Below are 14,417 nucleotides of genomic sequence, written 5' to 3'. Positions count from 1 at the left end.
TATTTGGGGAGTTTGGGAGAAGGGAGGGAGTGGTGAGAGACGAGGCTGCAGAGATTAGTGGTGGTTGCCCCAGGAAGGGCAAAATAAACTATGTCAGGGAGTTTGGGCCTAATGCTCTATAACCCAACAAGCCAGCCACTGTAATATTTTTATATTTGAAAGGTGGTGACAAGTTTGACTTTTGTACATGACTTTTGCTGTATAATTTATACTTTTTTATTTTATAAAAAAAGCAACTGGATGGTGATAAAAGGGTACAAGCTTGACTGGGAAGAATTAGGGCCTCATTCCAGAAATATTTTAGGCATCTTAATTATACTTTTATATCTTCTGTAGTTACTGCTATGCATTTGAGGATGAGTCATAAACCACTTGCAAATCATTGGTCATAGGAATAATGGAATAATGTCTAAAAACAGCATGTTTTAAAACCTGTTTAAGGGAAGAAACAGCAGGGAGAGCATGCACACAAACTGAATCAGATAGACCCTGAGATGGAAGTTTTTGTCTCTCCAGTGTTTTCTTTTCAAAAGTAACAAGCTGTAAGAATTATAATACACCATATCTATGTATTTAACACCCATTTACTAAACACCAGCCATCTGCCAGGCACATACTAGGCCTAGATATTTTATATATGATAATATTTTATTTAGTTCTTGTAACAAACTTTTAGATTGCTGCTTTTTTTTTTTTTTTGAAACGGAGTCTTGCTCTGTCACCCAGGCTGGATTGCAGTGGCGCAATCTCAGCTCACTGCAACCTCTGCCTCCCAGGTTCAAACCATTCTCCTGCTTCAGCCTCCAGAGTAGCTGGGACTACAGGTGCCTGCCACCACGCCTGGCTAAGTTTTGTATTTTTTTTTTTTTGAGATGGAGTTTTTGCTCTTGTTGCCCAGGCTGCAGTGCAATGGCATGATCTTGGCTGACCGCAACCTCTGCCACCCAGGTTCAAGCGATCCTCCTGCCTCAGCCTCCTGAGTAGCTGGGATTACAGGCATGCATCACCACCACGCCTCACTAATTTTGTATTTTTAGTAGAGATGGGGCTTCTCCATGTTGGTCAGGCTGGTCTCGAGCTTCCAACCTCAGGTGATCCGCCTGCCTTGGCCTCCCAAAGTGCTGGGATTACAGGCGTGAGCCACTGCGCCCAGCCTAGGTTTTGTATTGTTAGTAGAAGCAGGTTTTCTGCCCTGTTGGTCAGGCTGGTCTCGAACTCCTGACCTCAGGTGAGCCGCCTGCTTCAGCCTCCCAAGGTACTGGGATTACAGGTGAGAGCCACCGCGCCCAGCTACTGTTTGCTTTTAAATGATGAGGAAATACAGGTAACAGGCAGGTAGCAGAATTGGGTCTCTAGCTCCAGTCCACTTGGTTCCCTAGCTCATGCAAGTACTTGATCTCACTCCAGGCTCCTTGCTGAAGAAGCGTTAAGATTTTGTTTGCACAGTAGGTATTATCACCAGTTGAAATGGCATCACTAAGTCTGCAAGATTTTCAGACTTTTTAAGTTAGTAACAGGATGCTGAGTTTTGGTATTTTCTCTGGCTTTTTAATTCCACATATCATTACCTTTTCCTTATTCTTTAGGCTTGGATATTCTGGAGGAAAAAGTGATGGGAGGAACATCATAAGAGAGAGAGAGAGAGAGAAAATGGGGAAAGGAGAGAGAGAAGGGAAGAGTGCAGGTGTTTAAGAAGAATGCACGAGCCACAAACTGGCACTCTACAGATGTTTTGCTTTGAACTGTGTTTTATCAGCTTTTAAATTAGTTGTTAATAGTTCAAAATCAAGATGTTTCATATAAAAATCCAGATTTCTGGCTTTTGTGACAGTGGGAAGATCTGACAGCTTCAGAGACCACCTTCCTGAGCAGCAGTTGGTTAAGCTCAGTATTATTGGCTGTGCCCGTATATTGGGCATGATCTCTCCAGGTCACTGTAGCTCCCAGTCGTTCCTGCTTAACTCATTTGTGGTTAACTGCTGGCCCCCTATAGGCATTTATGTTTTGATTCTGGGTCTCCTGTACATCATTGTGGTTGTCTGACTGAGCAACTGGTAAATCAGTCTTCAAATTTGGTGGGAAAAGTGAAAAATGGTAATTCCTAGGGTAGTTAATGTAGAATAACTGAAACTGTTGAATCAGTATCAGCACTTAGAAAATAAACTATTTTGGGCCAGGCACAGTGGCTCATGCCTGTAGTCCCAGCACTTTGGGAGGCTGAGGCGGATGGATCACAAGGTCAGAGGAGATCGAGACCAGCCTGACCAGCATGGTGAAACCCTGTCTCTACTAAAAATACTAAAATTAGCCGGGCGTGGTGGTGAGTGCCTGTAATCCCAGCTACTTGGGAGGCTGAGGCAGGAGAATCGCTTGAACTTGGGAGGCGGAGGTTGCAGTGAGCCAAGATTGCTCCACTGCACTCCAGCCTCGGCGACAGAGCGAAACTCCGTCTCAAAAAAAAAAAAAAAAAAAAGAAAACAAACTATTTTGGTAAATTTAAAATCAGCTAGATTATTGATAACTTTTAGGGTAAAAATTTGGGTATTCTGAAGTTTAATTTTTGTATATATCAAAGATATATTCTCAAGAGAAAATTATTATATTAGTTTGTTCTTTCCTGTTAGTATAGAAAATATGTTTATTCTTTGAAATAGTTTATTCATAATATATGTGGAAAGCTAACTGATTTACAAATCATTGTGCAGGCTAATTGTATGTCCAAAGTTAAGCAATGATATATGTCAAGAGGGAATTTTTTCATAACCTTAATTAAGTCTTCAAAGAGGAATGGCCAGTTTTAAAAACCACATTAGAGCTTTCTAAGTGTTTGATTTATTTTCCCTAGGAAAAATAGGAATTATATTTTTACCCTCCGATAGGTAGAAGTTTTCTTCAAAGACTGTAAAAGCACATTAATTCCTTGAGTTCATTTTCCCAAAATTAATAATTCATAGTTTCTATTAGTGCTTATGTAGTCAGATAATATATTCAGAAATAGTCTAGCCTAAAATTTGGTATCACTTAAAAAGAGTTCACTGGCTACAAAGTACTTTTACATTTTTGTTTAATACATGAGACAACCTTACTATTTAAATAGTGTTATTCTCTTTTATAGACTCTTTAGGTCAGATGACTAATAAGAGGCAGAGCTGCTTTAGCTTTCATATTTTTATTGCTACACCACATAATAATGAATTATTGCTACACCACATAATAATGAACAGTATGACTGCATTTGTTTTTCTTGCATGTAGTAAGTATTTACATGAGGTGTTTCTCTGCCTTCTTCTAATCTAAAGATTCTTTTCCTTTACCTTTGGCCATGGGTATTTTTAATTATTTTGAGGTAAGCAATTTTTAAATTATTGTATTTCTTAAAGTCAAGCCTGTATCTCCTGAATTCTTTGTCTGTCTGTGATGAGATTCTCATTTCTATTGCTGGCTTTTCACTTTTATGTTAGAAAGGCAGATTCGGGGAGGCTGAGGTGGGAGGATCACTTGAGCCCAGGAGTTCGAGGCTGTAGTAAGGTAAGAAGGTGCCACTGTGCTCTTGCCTGGGTGACAGAGTAAGACCCCATCTCTTAGAGAGAGGGAGGGGTTGGATTTTTTTTTTCTGCTGAGTTTATTGTTTGTTTGCTTGTTTTTCATTTTTCACTATTGGAAACCTAGTTGAAAAGGTATGTATTGAGCCTGTTGACCTTGCAAAGGGTAGAGAAATTGACCTGATAGAAATGTCTCTGATCTGTTTATGTAGACAAGTTATTTGGCAGTCTAATTCTTTTTTCAAAAATTGTGGTAACATTTGCATAACGTAATATTTATCATTTTAATCATTTAAGTGTACAGTTTAGTGACATTAAATATATAATGTGTGTAGCCATCACCACGATGTAAATGGTATAAACCCCAAACCTTTTCATCATCCCAACATAAACTCTGTCCATTACACTGTAATTTCCTATTTTTCCCTCCCCTGAGACCCTGGTAACCTCTATTCTACTTTTTGTTTCTATGAATTTACTTATTCTAGATTTAAGTGGAATCATATATTTGTCTATCTGTGTCTGGCTAATTTCACCGAGTATAATGTTTTCAAGGTCCATCCATGTTGTAGCAAATGAATGAAAATTTCACTGAATTCTGTGGCTGAATTTTATGTGTATAACCACATTTTGTTGATCTATTATCCATTCATCTGTTGATGAATGCTTGGGTTGTTTTTACATTTTGGCTATTGTCAATAATGATGCAATGAACATTGGTATACAAATAATCTGTTCTAGTTCCTACTCTCAGTTTTTGTTTTAAATATATATTTTAGGTTGGTGCAAAAGTAATTGTGGTTTTTGCCATTACTGTCTAGGAGTGGAATAGCTGGGTCATATGGTTTTATGTTTAACTTTTTGAGGAATTGTCAAGCTATTTTCCACAGTAGCTGCACCACCTACATTCCCACCAGCAGTGTATGAGCTTTCTGTTTTTTCCACATTCCTGCCAACACTTACTATTATCCATTTTATTATGCCCATCTTAGGAGGCATGAAGTGATATTTCATTGTGGTTTTGATTTGTATTTTGCTGACTAATAATGTTGAACATCTTCTCATGTGCTTTTTGGCCATTTGCATATCTTCTTTGGAAAAATGTCTATTCAAGTCCTTTTGGTAGGCGAATTGCAAGTGGACAAGTTAGCCTGTCACAGTTTCATGGACACTGGCAAAAGACATGAAATTCCTGGGCCAAAGACAAAGGACTTTATTACTCAAGGCACAACAGGGAGTATGAGCTTCATGTTTGTGTTGTTTCTTTTGTTGTCCCCTCCCACTCCAAGCTCTACAGGGATTTCAGAGATAATTTGGTAGATGCTGTGCACACAGTGGGTTTGCGTCCTGGCTGAAGGACCTTGAACTTAGTGTGTTCCTGAATTTTTTACAATGGGTTGCAAGTAAACCTGCTCTTTTTCCAGAGGGAGACCTTATCTGTCTTTCAGGGCTATTCACCATGTAGATACCTTTGAAAAGATAGTCCAGAACAAAAGGTTATTGTCTCAGTCACAAAACATACAGAAATGTAAGAGACCCATGGAGAATTACCTCCAAAGTCCAGTTACGAAAATGAAGAAATGAACATTGGTACAGTACTATTTTTCTTTTCAACTTTTAAGTTCCAGGGTACATGTGCAGGATGGGCAGGTTTGTTACATAGGTAACATGTGCCATGGTGGTTTGCTGCACAGATCAACCCATCCCCTAGGTATTAAGCCCAGCATCCATTAGCTATTCTTCCTGATGCTCTCCCACCCCCTGCCCTCCTGACAGGCCCCAATTTGTGTTATTCCCCACTTTGTGTCTGTGTGTTCTCATTGTTCAGCTCCCGCTTATAAGTGAGAACATGCGGTGTTTGGTTTTCTGTTCCTGCATTAGTTTGCTGAGGATAAAGTATCCAGCTTCATCCATGTCCCTGCAAAGGACATGATCTCATTCCTTATGGCTGCATAGTATTCTATGATGTATGCCACATTTTCTATATCCAGTCTATTATTGATGGGCATGTGGATTGATTCCATGTCTTTGCTATTATGAATTGTGCTGCAGTGAACATACGCATGCATATATCTTTATAATAGAATGATTTATATTCCTTTGGTAATATACCCAGTAATGGGACTACTAGGTCACATGATATTTCTGCTTCTAGATCTTTGAGGAATTGCCCCATTATCTTCCACAATGGTTGAACTAATTTACACTTCCACCAATAGTATAAAAGTGTTCTTTTTTTCTCCACAACCTCACCAGCATCTGTTGTTTTTTGACCTTTTATTTATTTTTTATTATTTATTTATTTATTTTTTTGGGGATGGACTCTTGCTCTGTCGCCCAGGCTGGAGTGCAGTGGCACAGTCTTTGCTCACTGCAAGCTCTGCCTCCTGGGTTCACACCATTCTCCTGCCTCAGCCTCCCGAGTAGCTGGGACTACAGGTGCCCGCCACCATGCCTGGCTAATTTTTTGTATTTTTAGCAGAGATGGGGTTTCACCATGTTAGCCAGGATGGTCTTGATCTCCTGATCTTGTGATCCACCCGCCTTGGCCTCCCAAAGTGCTGGGATTATAGGCGTGAGCCACCGCGCCTGGCCTCTATTTTTTATTTTTTGAGATGGAGTCCCACTGTGTAACCCAGGCTGGAGCGCAGTGATGTGATCTTGGCTCACTGCAACCTCCATCTTCCCGGCTCAAGCATTCCTCCTGCTTCAGCCTCCCAGGTAGCTGGGACTACATGTGTGCACCACCATGCCCAGCTAATTTTTTTATTTTTGTTGGAGATGGGGTTTCACCATATTGCCCAGGCTGATCTCTAACTCCTGACCTCAAGTGATCCACCCTCCTTGGCCTCCTGAAGTGCTGGGATTACAGGTGTGAGCCACCGTGCCTGGCCATTTGTTGACGTTTTGATAGTCACCATTCTGACTGGCATGAGATGGTATCTCACTGTGGTTTTGATATGGATTTCCATAATCAGTGATGTTGAGCTTTTTTTCTTATGTTTGTTGGCCACATGAATGTCTTCTTTTGAGAAGTGTCTGTTCATGTCCTTTGCCCGCTTCTTAATGGGGTTGTTGGTTTTTTTCTGATACATTTATTTAAAATTCCTTGTGGACTCTGGATATTAGACCTTTGTCAGATGGGTAGATTGCCAAGTTTTTCTCCCATTCTGTAGGTTGTCTGTTCACTCTGATGATAGTTTCTTTTGGTGTGCAGAGATCTTTAGTTTAATTAGATCCCATTTATCAATTTTTGCTTTTGTTGCAAAATTGCTTTTGGTGTTTTTGTCATGAGATCTTGGCCCGTGCCAACGTCCTGAATGGTATTGCCTGGATTTTCTTCTAGGGTTTTTCTAGTTTTGGGTTTTACATTTACGTCTTTAATTCATCTTGAGTTAGTTTTTGTATAAGGTGTAAGGAAGAGGACCAGTTTCAACTTTCTGCTGCATATGGCTAGCCAGTTCTCCCAGCACCACGTAAAAAAAAGTTAAAAAAAAAAAAAGCAGGGAATCCTTTCCCCATTGCTTGTTTTTGTCAGGCTTGTGGAAGATCAGATGGTTGTAGGTGTGTAGTCTTGTTTCTGAGTTCTCTATTCTGTTCCATTGGTCTATGTGTCTGGTTTTGTACCAGTACCAGGCTGTTTTAATTACTGTAGCCTTGTAGTATAGTTTGAAGTCAGGTAGTGTAATGCCTCTCAGGTAGTGTAATGCCTCTCCAGTTTTCCTCTTTTCCTTAGGATTGTCTTGGCTATTTGGGTTCTTTTTTGGTTCCATATGAATTTTAAAATAGTTTTTCCTAATACTGTGAAGAATGTTAATGGTAGTTTAATTGGAATAGCATTGAATCTATAAATTGGGCAGTATGGCCATTTTCACAATATTGATTCTTCCTGTCCGTGAGCATGGAATGTTTTCCCATTTGTTTGTGTCCTCTCTGATTTCCTTGAGCAGTGGTTTGTAGTTCTCCTTAAAGAGGTCCTTCACTTCCCTTGTTAGCTCTATATCTAGGCATTTTATTCTCTTTGTAGCAATTGCGAATGGGAGTTCATTCATGATTTGGCTGTCTGCTTGCCTGTTGTTGGTACATAGGAATGCTTGTGATTTTTGCACATTGATTTTATATCCTGAGACTTTGCTGAAGTTGCTGATCAGCTTAAGGAGATTTTGGGCTGAGACAGTGGGGTTTTCTAAATATACAATCATGTCATCTGCAAACAGATACAATTTGACTTCCTCTCTTCCTATTTGAATACCCTTTCTTTCTTTCTCTTGCCTGATTGCCCTGACCAGAACTTCCAATACTATTTTGAATAGCAGTGGTGAGAGAGGGGATCCTTGTCTTGTGCCGATCTTCAAAGGAAATGCTTCCAGCGTTTGCCCATTCAGTATGATATTGGTTGTGGGTTTGTCATAAATAGCTCTTATTATTTTGAGATATGTTCCATCAATACCTAGTTTATTGAGAGTTTTAGCATGAAAGGGTGTTGAATTTTATCAAAGGCTTTTTGTGCATTTTTTGAGATAATCATGTGGTTTTTGTCATTGGTTCTGTTTATGTGATGGATTACATTTATTGATTTGCATATGTTGAACCAGCCTTGCATCCCAGGTATGAAGCTGACTTGATCATGGTGGATAACCTTTTTGATGTGCTACTGTATTCAGTTTCCCAGTATTTTATTGAGGATTTTCTCATTGATGTTCATCAGGGATATTGGCCTGAAATGTTCTTTTTTTTGTTGTATCTCTGCCAGGTTTTGGTATCAGGATGATGCTGGCCTCATAAAATGAGTTAGGGAGGAGTCCCTCTTTTTCTATTATTTGAAATAGTTTCAGAAGGAATGGTACCAGCTCCTCTTTGTACCTGTGGTAGAATTCGTCTGTGAATCTGGTTCTGAGCTGTTTTTGGTTGGTAGGCTATTAATTACTGCCTCAATTTCAGAACTTGTTATCGGTCTATTCAGGGATTCGACTTCTTCCTAGTTTAGTGTTGGGAGGGTGTATATGTCCAGGAATTTATCCATTTCTTCTAGATTTTCTAGTTTATGTGTGTAGAGGTGTTTAGAGTATTCTTTGATGGTAGTTTGTATTTCTGTGGGATCATTGGTGATACCCCCTTTATCATCTTTTACTGTGTCTATTTGATTCTTCTCTTTTTTCTTCTTTATTAGTCTGGCTAGCAGTCTATCTATTTTGTTAATCTTTTCAAAACACCAGCTCCTGGAGTCATAGATTTTTTTGAAGGGTTTTTTTGTGTCTCTATCTTCTTCAGTTCTGCTCTGATCTTAGTTGTTTCTTGTCTGTTGCTAGCTTTTGAATTTGTTTGCTCTTGCTTTAGTTCTTTTAATTGTGATATTAGGGTGTTGATTTTAGATCTTTCCCACTTTCTCCTGTGGGCATTTAGTACTATAAATTTCCCTCTAAACGCTGCGTTAGCTGTGTCCCAGATATACTGGTACGTTGTGTCTTTGTTCTCATTGGTTTCAGAGAACTTATTTATTTCTGCCTTAATTTCATTATTTACCCAGTAGTCATTCAGGAGCAGGTTGTTCAGTTTCCGTGTAGTTGTGAGGTTTTGAGTGAGTTTCTTAATTCTGAGTTCTAATTTGATTGCACTGTGGTCTGAGAGACTGTTATGATTTCCATTCTTTTGCATTTGCTGAAGAGTGTTTTGCTTCTAATTATGTGGTCAATTTTAGAATAAGTGTGATGTGGTGATGAGAAGAATGTATATTCTGTTGATTTGGGGTGGAGAGTTCTGTAGATGTCTATTAGGTCTACTTGGTCCAGAGCTGAGTTCAAGTCCTGCATATCCTTTTTAATTTTCTGTCTCATTGATCGGTCCAGTATTGATGGTGAGGTGTTAAAGTCTCTCACTGTTATTGTGTGGGAGTCTAAGTCTCTTACAGAAACCCCATCCAAAGGTCACCAGCGTCAAAGACCAAAGGTAGATAAATCCATGAAGATGAGGAAAAACCAGCACAAAAAGGCTGAAAATCCCAAAAACCAGAATGCCTCTTGTCCTCCAAAGGATCACAGCTCTTCACCACCAAGGGAACTAAACTGGATGGAGAATGAGTTTGATGTATTGACATAAGTAGGCTTCAGAAAGTGGGTAATATCAAATTCCTCCGAGCTAAAGGAGCATATTCTAACCCAATGTAAGGAAGCTAAGAACCTTGAAAAAAGGTTAGACGAATTGCTAAGTAGAATAACCAGTTTAGAGAATAACATAAATTACCTGATGGAGCTGAAATACACAGCATGAGAACTTCTTGAAGCATACACAAGTATCAGTAGCCAAATCGATCAAGCGGAAGAAAGGATATCAGAAATTGAAGATAAACTCAATGAAATAAAGCGTGAAGACAAGATTACAGAAAAAAGAATGAAAAGGAACGAACAAAGCCTCCAAGAAATATGGGACTATGTGAAAAGACCAAACCTATGTTTGATTGGTGTACGTGAAAGTGATGGGGAGAATGGAACCAAGTTGGAAAACACTCTTCAGGATATTATCCAGGAGAACTTCCCCAACCTAGCAAGACAGGCCAACATTCAAATTCAGGAAATACAGAGAACACCACAAAGATACTCCTTGAGAAGAGCAACCCCAAGACACATAATCATCAGATTCACCAAGGTTGAAATGAAGGAAAAAATGTTAAGGGCAGCCAGAGAGAAAGGTTGGGTTACCCACAAAGGGAAGCCTATCAGACTAACAGCAGATCTCTCAGCAGAAACTCTACAAGCCAGAAGAGAGTGGGGGCCAATATTCAACATTCTTAAATAAAAGAATTTTTTTTTTTGTTAGAACAACTCAGCAAAATAAAATTCCTGTTTATTGTTGGACAACATTGTTTCACACATACATCAAACAGGCCAAAAAAAATAAACAGCAACTTCATAGACAAAAAAGGAAAAAAAAGAAACCTTTTATCTTTGGCCTTTTTAACCATCTCATACAAACCAACTACTTATAGTACAGCTAAGTACATACACAAAAAAGTTACTGGAATGCTCGGAATAAGATTGTTTTTCTGTTGTCATTTTTGCTTTTTTTACAAGGTTTTTTTTCTCCTTTGAGATTATAATGAACATGGTCACACCACAAGTAAAGTCAGAAGTAGGACAGAGAACGCTCCGAAGGCTGGTTTGGTCATCGGAGATCATTAAAAATGGCTGACTCTAACAATATGTACAAAAATATAAAATGTAAATAAAAAATACAAACAAATTTCCTTTTTAAAGTACTTTTAAGAAAAAAAGCAGGGCCTTGGAAGTTTTGGTTCTTTTTTCCTCCCCTGTTGCAAATTCTCATGGTTTGGGTTGGGTGGTGGAGAGCGCGTGTCATCTGCGGGTGGCACTGTCCACGGTGGGCGGGCGGGCCTCTCTACTCGAAGGTGACCACGTTTAGATTCTGAGACGGGAAGTGGAGGGTGAATAGGTCAAGGCGGCCTTTTTTTTTAGTTTAACTTTTCCTTTTTTGCTGTCTAGTCATCCTCGTCGGTCTTCTGCTTCTTGGTATCGACATCGTCATCCTCATCATCTTCAGCTGCCCGCTTGCCCGTAGCTGTCTCAGCTTCCTCATCTTCATCTCCATCCTCTTCCTCACCATCACCTTCTTCCTCCTCCTCTTCCTCCCCACCTTCTTCCTCTTCTTCATCTACCTCATTGTCAGCCTCCTGCTCCCCATTTTCCTCATTAGCATTCCCGTTAGCAGGGGCGTCTCTTCCATTTTCTGCCTCTTCCACAACTTCCTTCTTCTCCTGTAAGTCCTTGGTGGTGATTTCGGAGCTGGTGTCTACGGCTGCGTCTGACATGGTGGGGCACGCCGGTGATCCGATGCAGGCGATTAAAAAGAAAGCGAGAGTTCAGGGACTCTGGCGATAAAGCTGCCGGAGTCCGCGGCGGCGGAGGAGGCGCGTGGCGGAGGCGGCTGCGGCGAGCAAGGAGGCTGCCGCGAGCAAGGAGGCTGCCGCGAGCAAGGAGGCTGCCGCGAGCAAGGAGGCGGACGAGGAACAATGCAAAGATGGCTTTTCAGAGCAGCCAGTGGGAATAAAAGAATTTTTAACCTAGAATTTCATCTCCAGCCAAACTAAGCTTCATAAGTGAAGGAGCAATAAAATCCTTTACAGATAAGCAAATGCTGAGAGATTTTGTCACCACCAGGCCTGCCTTACAAGAGCTCCTCAAGGAAGCACTAAATACGGAAAGGAAAAACAAGTACCAGCCACTGCAAAAACATACCAAATTGTGAAGACCATCGACGCTATGAAGAAACTGCATCAACTAAGGGGCAAAATAACCAGCTAACATCATAATGACAGGATCATATTCATACGTAACAACGTTAACCTTCAATGTAAATGGGTTAAATGCCCCAATTAAAAGACACAGACTGGCAAATTGGATAAAGAGTCAAGACCCATTGGTGTGTTGTATTCAGAAGACCCATCTCACGTGCAAAGACACACATAGGCTCAAAATGGAGGAAGATTTACCAAGCAAATGGAAAGCCAAAAAAAAAAAAAAAAAAGGGGGTTGCAATCCTAGTTTCTGATAAAACAGACTGTAAGTTTCTGATAAAACAGACTGTAAACCAACAAAGATAAAAAAAAGACAAAGAAGGGCATTACATAATGGCAAAGGGATCAAAGCAACAAGAAGAGCTAACTATCCTAAATATATATGCACCCAATACAGGGGCACCCAGATTCAAAAGCAAGGCCTTAGAATCATGTGGTTTTTGTCTTTAGTTTTGTTTATGCGGTGAATTACACTTATGGATTCACGTATGTTGAACCAACCTTGGATCCCAGGGATGAAGCCAACTTGATCATGACAGATAAGCTTTTTGATGTGCTGCTGGAATCAGTTTGCCAGTATTTTATTGAGGATTTTTGTGTTGATGTTCATCAGGGATATTGGAGGGCAATTTTTTATGTTTTTGTATCTCTACCAGGTTTTGGTATCAGGATGATGCTGGCTTCATAAAATGAGTTTGGGAGGAGTTCCTTCTTTTCAACTGTTTGGAATAGTTTCAGTAGAAATGGTACCAGCTCGTCTTTGTACCTCTGGTAGAATTCAGCTGTAAATTCATCCTTTCCTGGGCTTTCTTTTTGGGCTGATAGGCTATTTAATTACTGCCTTGGTTTCAGAACTCATTGTTGGTCTATTCAAGTACTCAATTTCTTCCTGGTTCGTCTTGGCAGGGTGTATGTGTCTAGGAATTTATCCATTTCTCCTAGATTTTCTAGTTTATGTGCATAGAGGTGTTTATAGTATTCTCTGATGATTGTTTGTATTTCTGTGTGGTCAGTGGTGATATCCCCCTTATCATTTCTGATTGTGTCTATGTGATTCTTCCACCTTTTCTTCTTTATTAGTCTACCTAGCAGTCTATTTATTGTTATTTTTTCTCCAAAAACCCAGCTCCTGGATTTGTTGATTTTTTGAAGGGGTTGTCATATCTCTGTCTCCTTCAGTTATGCTCTGATCTTGGTTATTTCTTGTATTCTGCTAGCTTTGGAGTTTGTTTGGTCTTGTTTCTCTAGTTCTTTTAGTTGTGATGTTCGGTTGTTGATTTGAGATCTTACTAGCTTTTTGATGTGGGCATTTAGTGCTATGTATTTTCCTCTAAACACTGTTTTGCAGTGTTACAGAGATTCTGGTGCAGTGTCTCTTTGTTCTCATTAGTTTTAAAGAACTTCTTGATGTCTGCCTTAATTTCGTAATTTATCAAGGAGTCATTCAGGTTGTTCAATTTCCATGTAGTTGTGTAGTTTTGAGTGAGTTTCTTAACCTTCAGTTCTAATTTGATTGCACTGTGGTCTGAGAGACTATTTGTTATCATTTCAGTTCTTTTGCATTTGCTGAGGAGTGATTTCCAATTATGTGATCAATTTTTGAGTAAGTGCCATGTGTCTAGGAGAAAAATATATATTCTGTTATTTTTGGATGGAGAGTTCTGTAGATCTCTATCAGGTCTGCTTGATCCAGAGCTAAGTTCAGGTCCTGAATATCTTTGTTAATTTTCTGTCTTGATCATCTGTCTAATATTGTCAGTGGGGTGTTAAAGTCTCTCACTATTATTGTGTGGGAGTCAGTCTCTTTGTAGATCTCTAAGAACTTGCTTTATGAATCTGGGTGCTACTGTATTGGGTGCATATATATTTAGGATAGTTAGCTCTCCTTGTTGAACTGAACCCTTTACCATATATAACGCCCTTCTTTGTCTTTTTTGATCTTTGTTGGTTTAAAGTCTGTTTTGTCAGAAACTAGAATTGTGACCCCTGCATTTTTCTGTTTTCCATTTGCTTGGTAAATTTTCCTTTATCCCTTTATTTTGAGGTTATATGTGTCTTTGCATGTGAGATGGGTCTCTTGAAGATAGCATACAGATGGATCTTGACTCTATCCAGCTTGCCATTCTGTGTCTTTTAGTTAGGGCATTTAGGCCATTTACACTTAAGGTTAATATTGTTATGTGTGAGTTTGATCCTGTCATCATGAAGCTAGCTGGTTATTTTGCAGACTTGTTTATGTGGTTGCTTTGTAGTGTCACTGATTTGCGTACTTCAGTGGATTTATGTAGTGACTGGTAATGATTTTTCCTTTCCATATTTAGTGCTTCCTTCAGGAGCTCTTGAAAGGCAGGCCTGGTGGTGACGAAGTCCCTCAGCATTTGCTTGTCTGAAAAGGATCTTATTTCTCCCTTGCTTATTAAGCTTATTTTGGCCAGATATGAAATTCTGGGCTGGAAATTCTTTTAAGAATGTTGAATATTGGCCCCTAATCTCTGCTGGCTAATAGGGTTTCCACTGAGGGTTTTGCTTTTAGTCTGATGGACTTCTCTTTGTAGGTTACCTGGCGT

The 14,417-nt window shown here is 39.6% G+C and overlaps 1 protein-coding gene, 1 non-coding gene and 1 pseudogene across 5 annotated transcripts in view; 1 reads left to right on the top strand and 2 right to left on the bottom strand.

The window, feature by feature from the left end:
- DTWD2 (DTW motif tRNA-uridine aminocarboxypropyltransferase 2) overlaps positions 1 to 14,417 on the top strand; it is a 152,474-nt gene that overhangs the window by 3,388 nt on the left and 134,669 nt on the right. The window lies entirely within an intron of this gene.
- PTMAP2 (prothymosin alpha pseudogene 2) lies at positions 10,340 to 11,598 on the bottom strand (annotated as a pseudogene).
- Positions 10,490 to 10,574, bottom strand: MIR1244-2 (microRNA 1244-2). Its single transcript, NR_036262.1, has one exon. It is a non-coding gene; the product is annotated as a microRNA 1244-2 (primary transcript).

This window comes from Homo sapiens, chromosome 5 (genome assembly GCF_000001405.40).
Source record: "Homo sapiens chromosome 5, GRCh38.p14 Primary Assembly".
NCBI classification, from domain to species: domain Eukaryota; kingdom Metazoa; phylum Chordata; class Mammalia; order Primates; family Hominidae; genus Homo; species Homo sapiens.
Note: the sequence above shows the minus strand (reverse complement) of the source record. Positions and strands in the feature narration are given on the sequence as shown.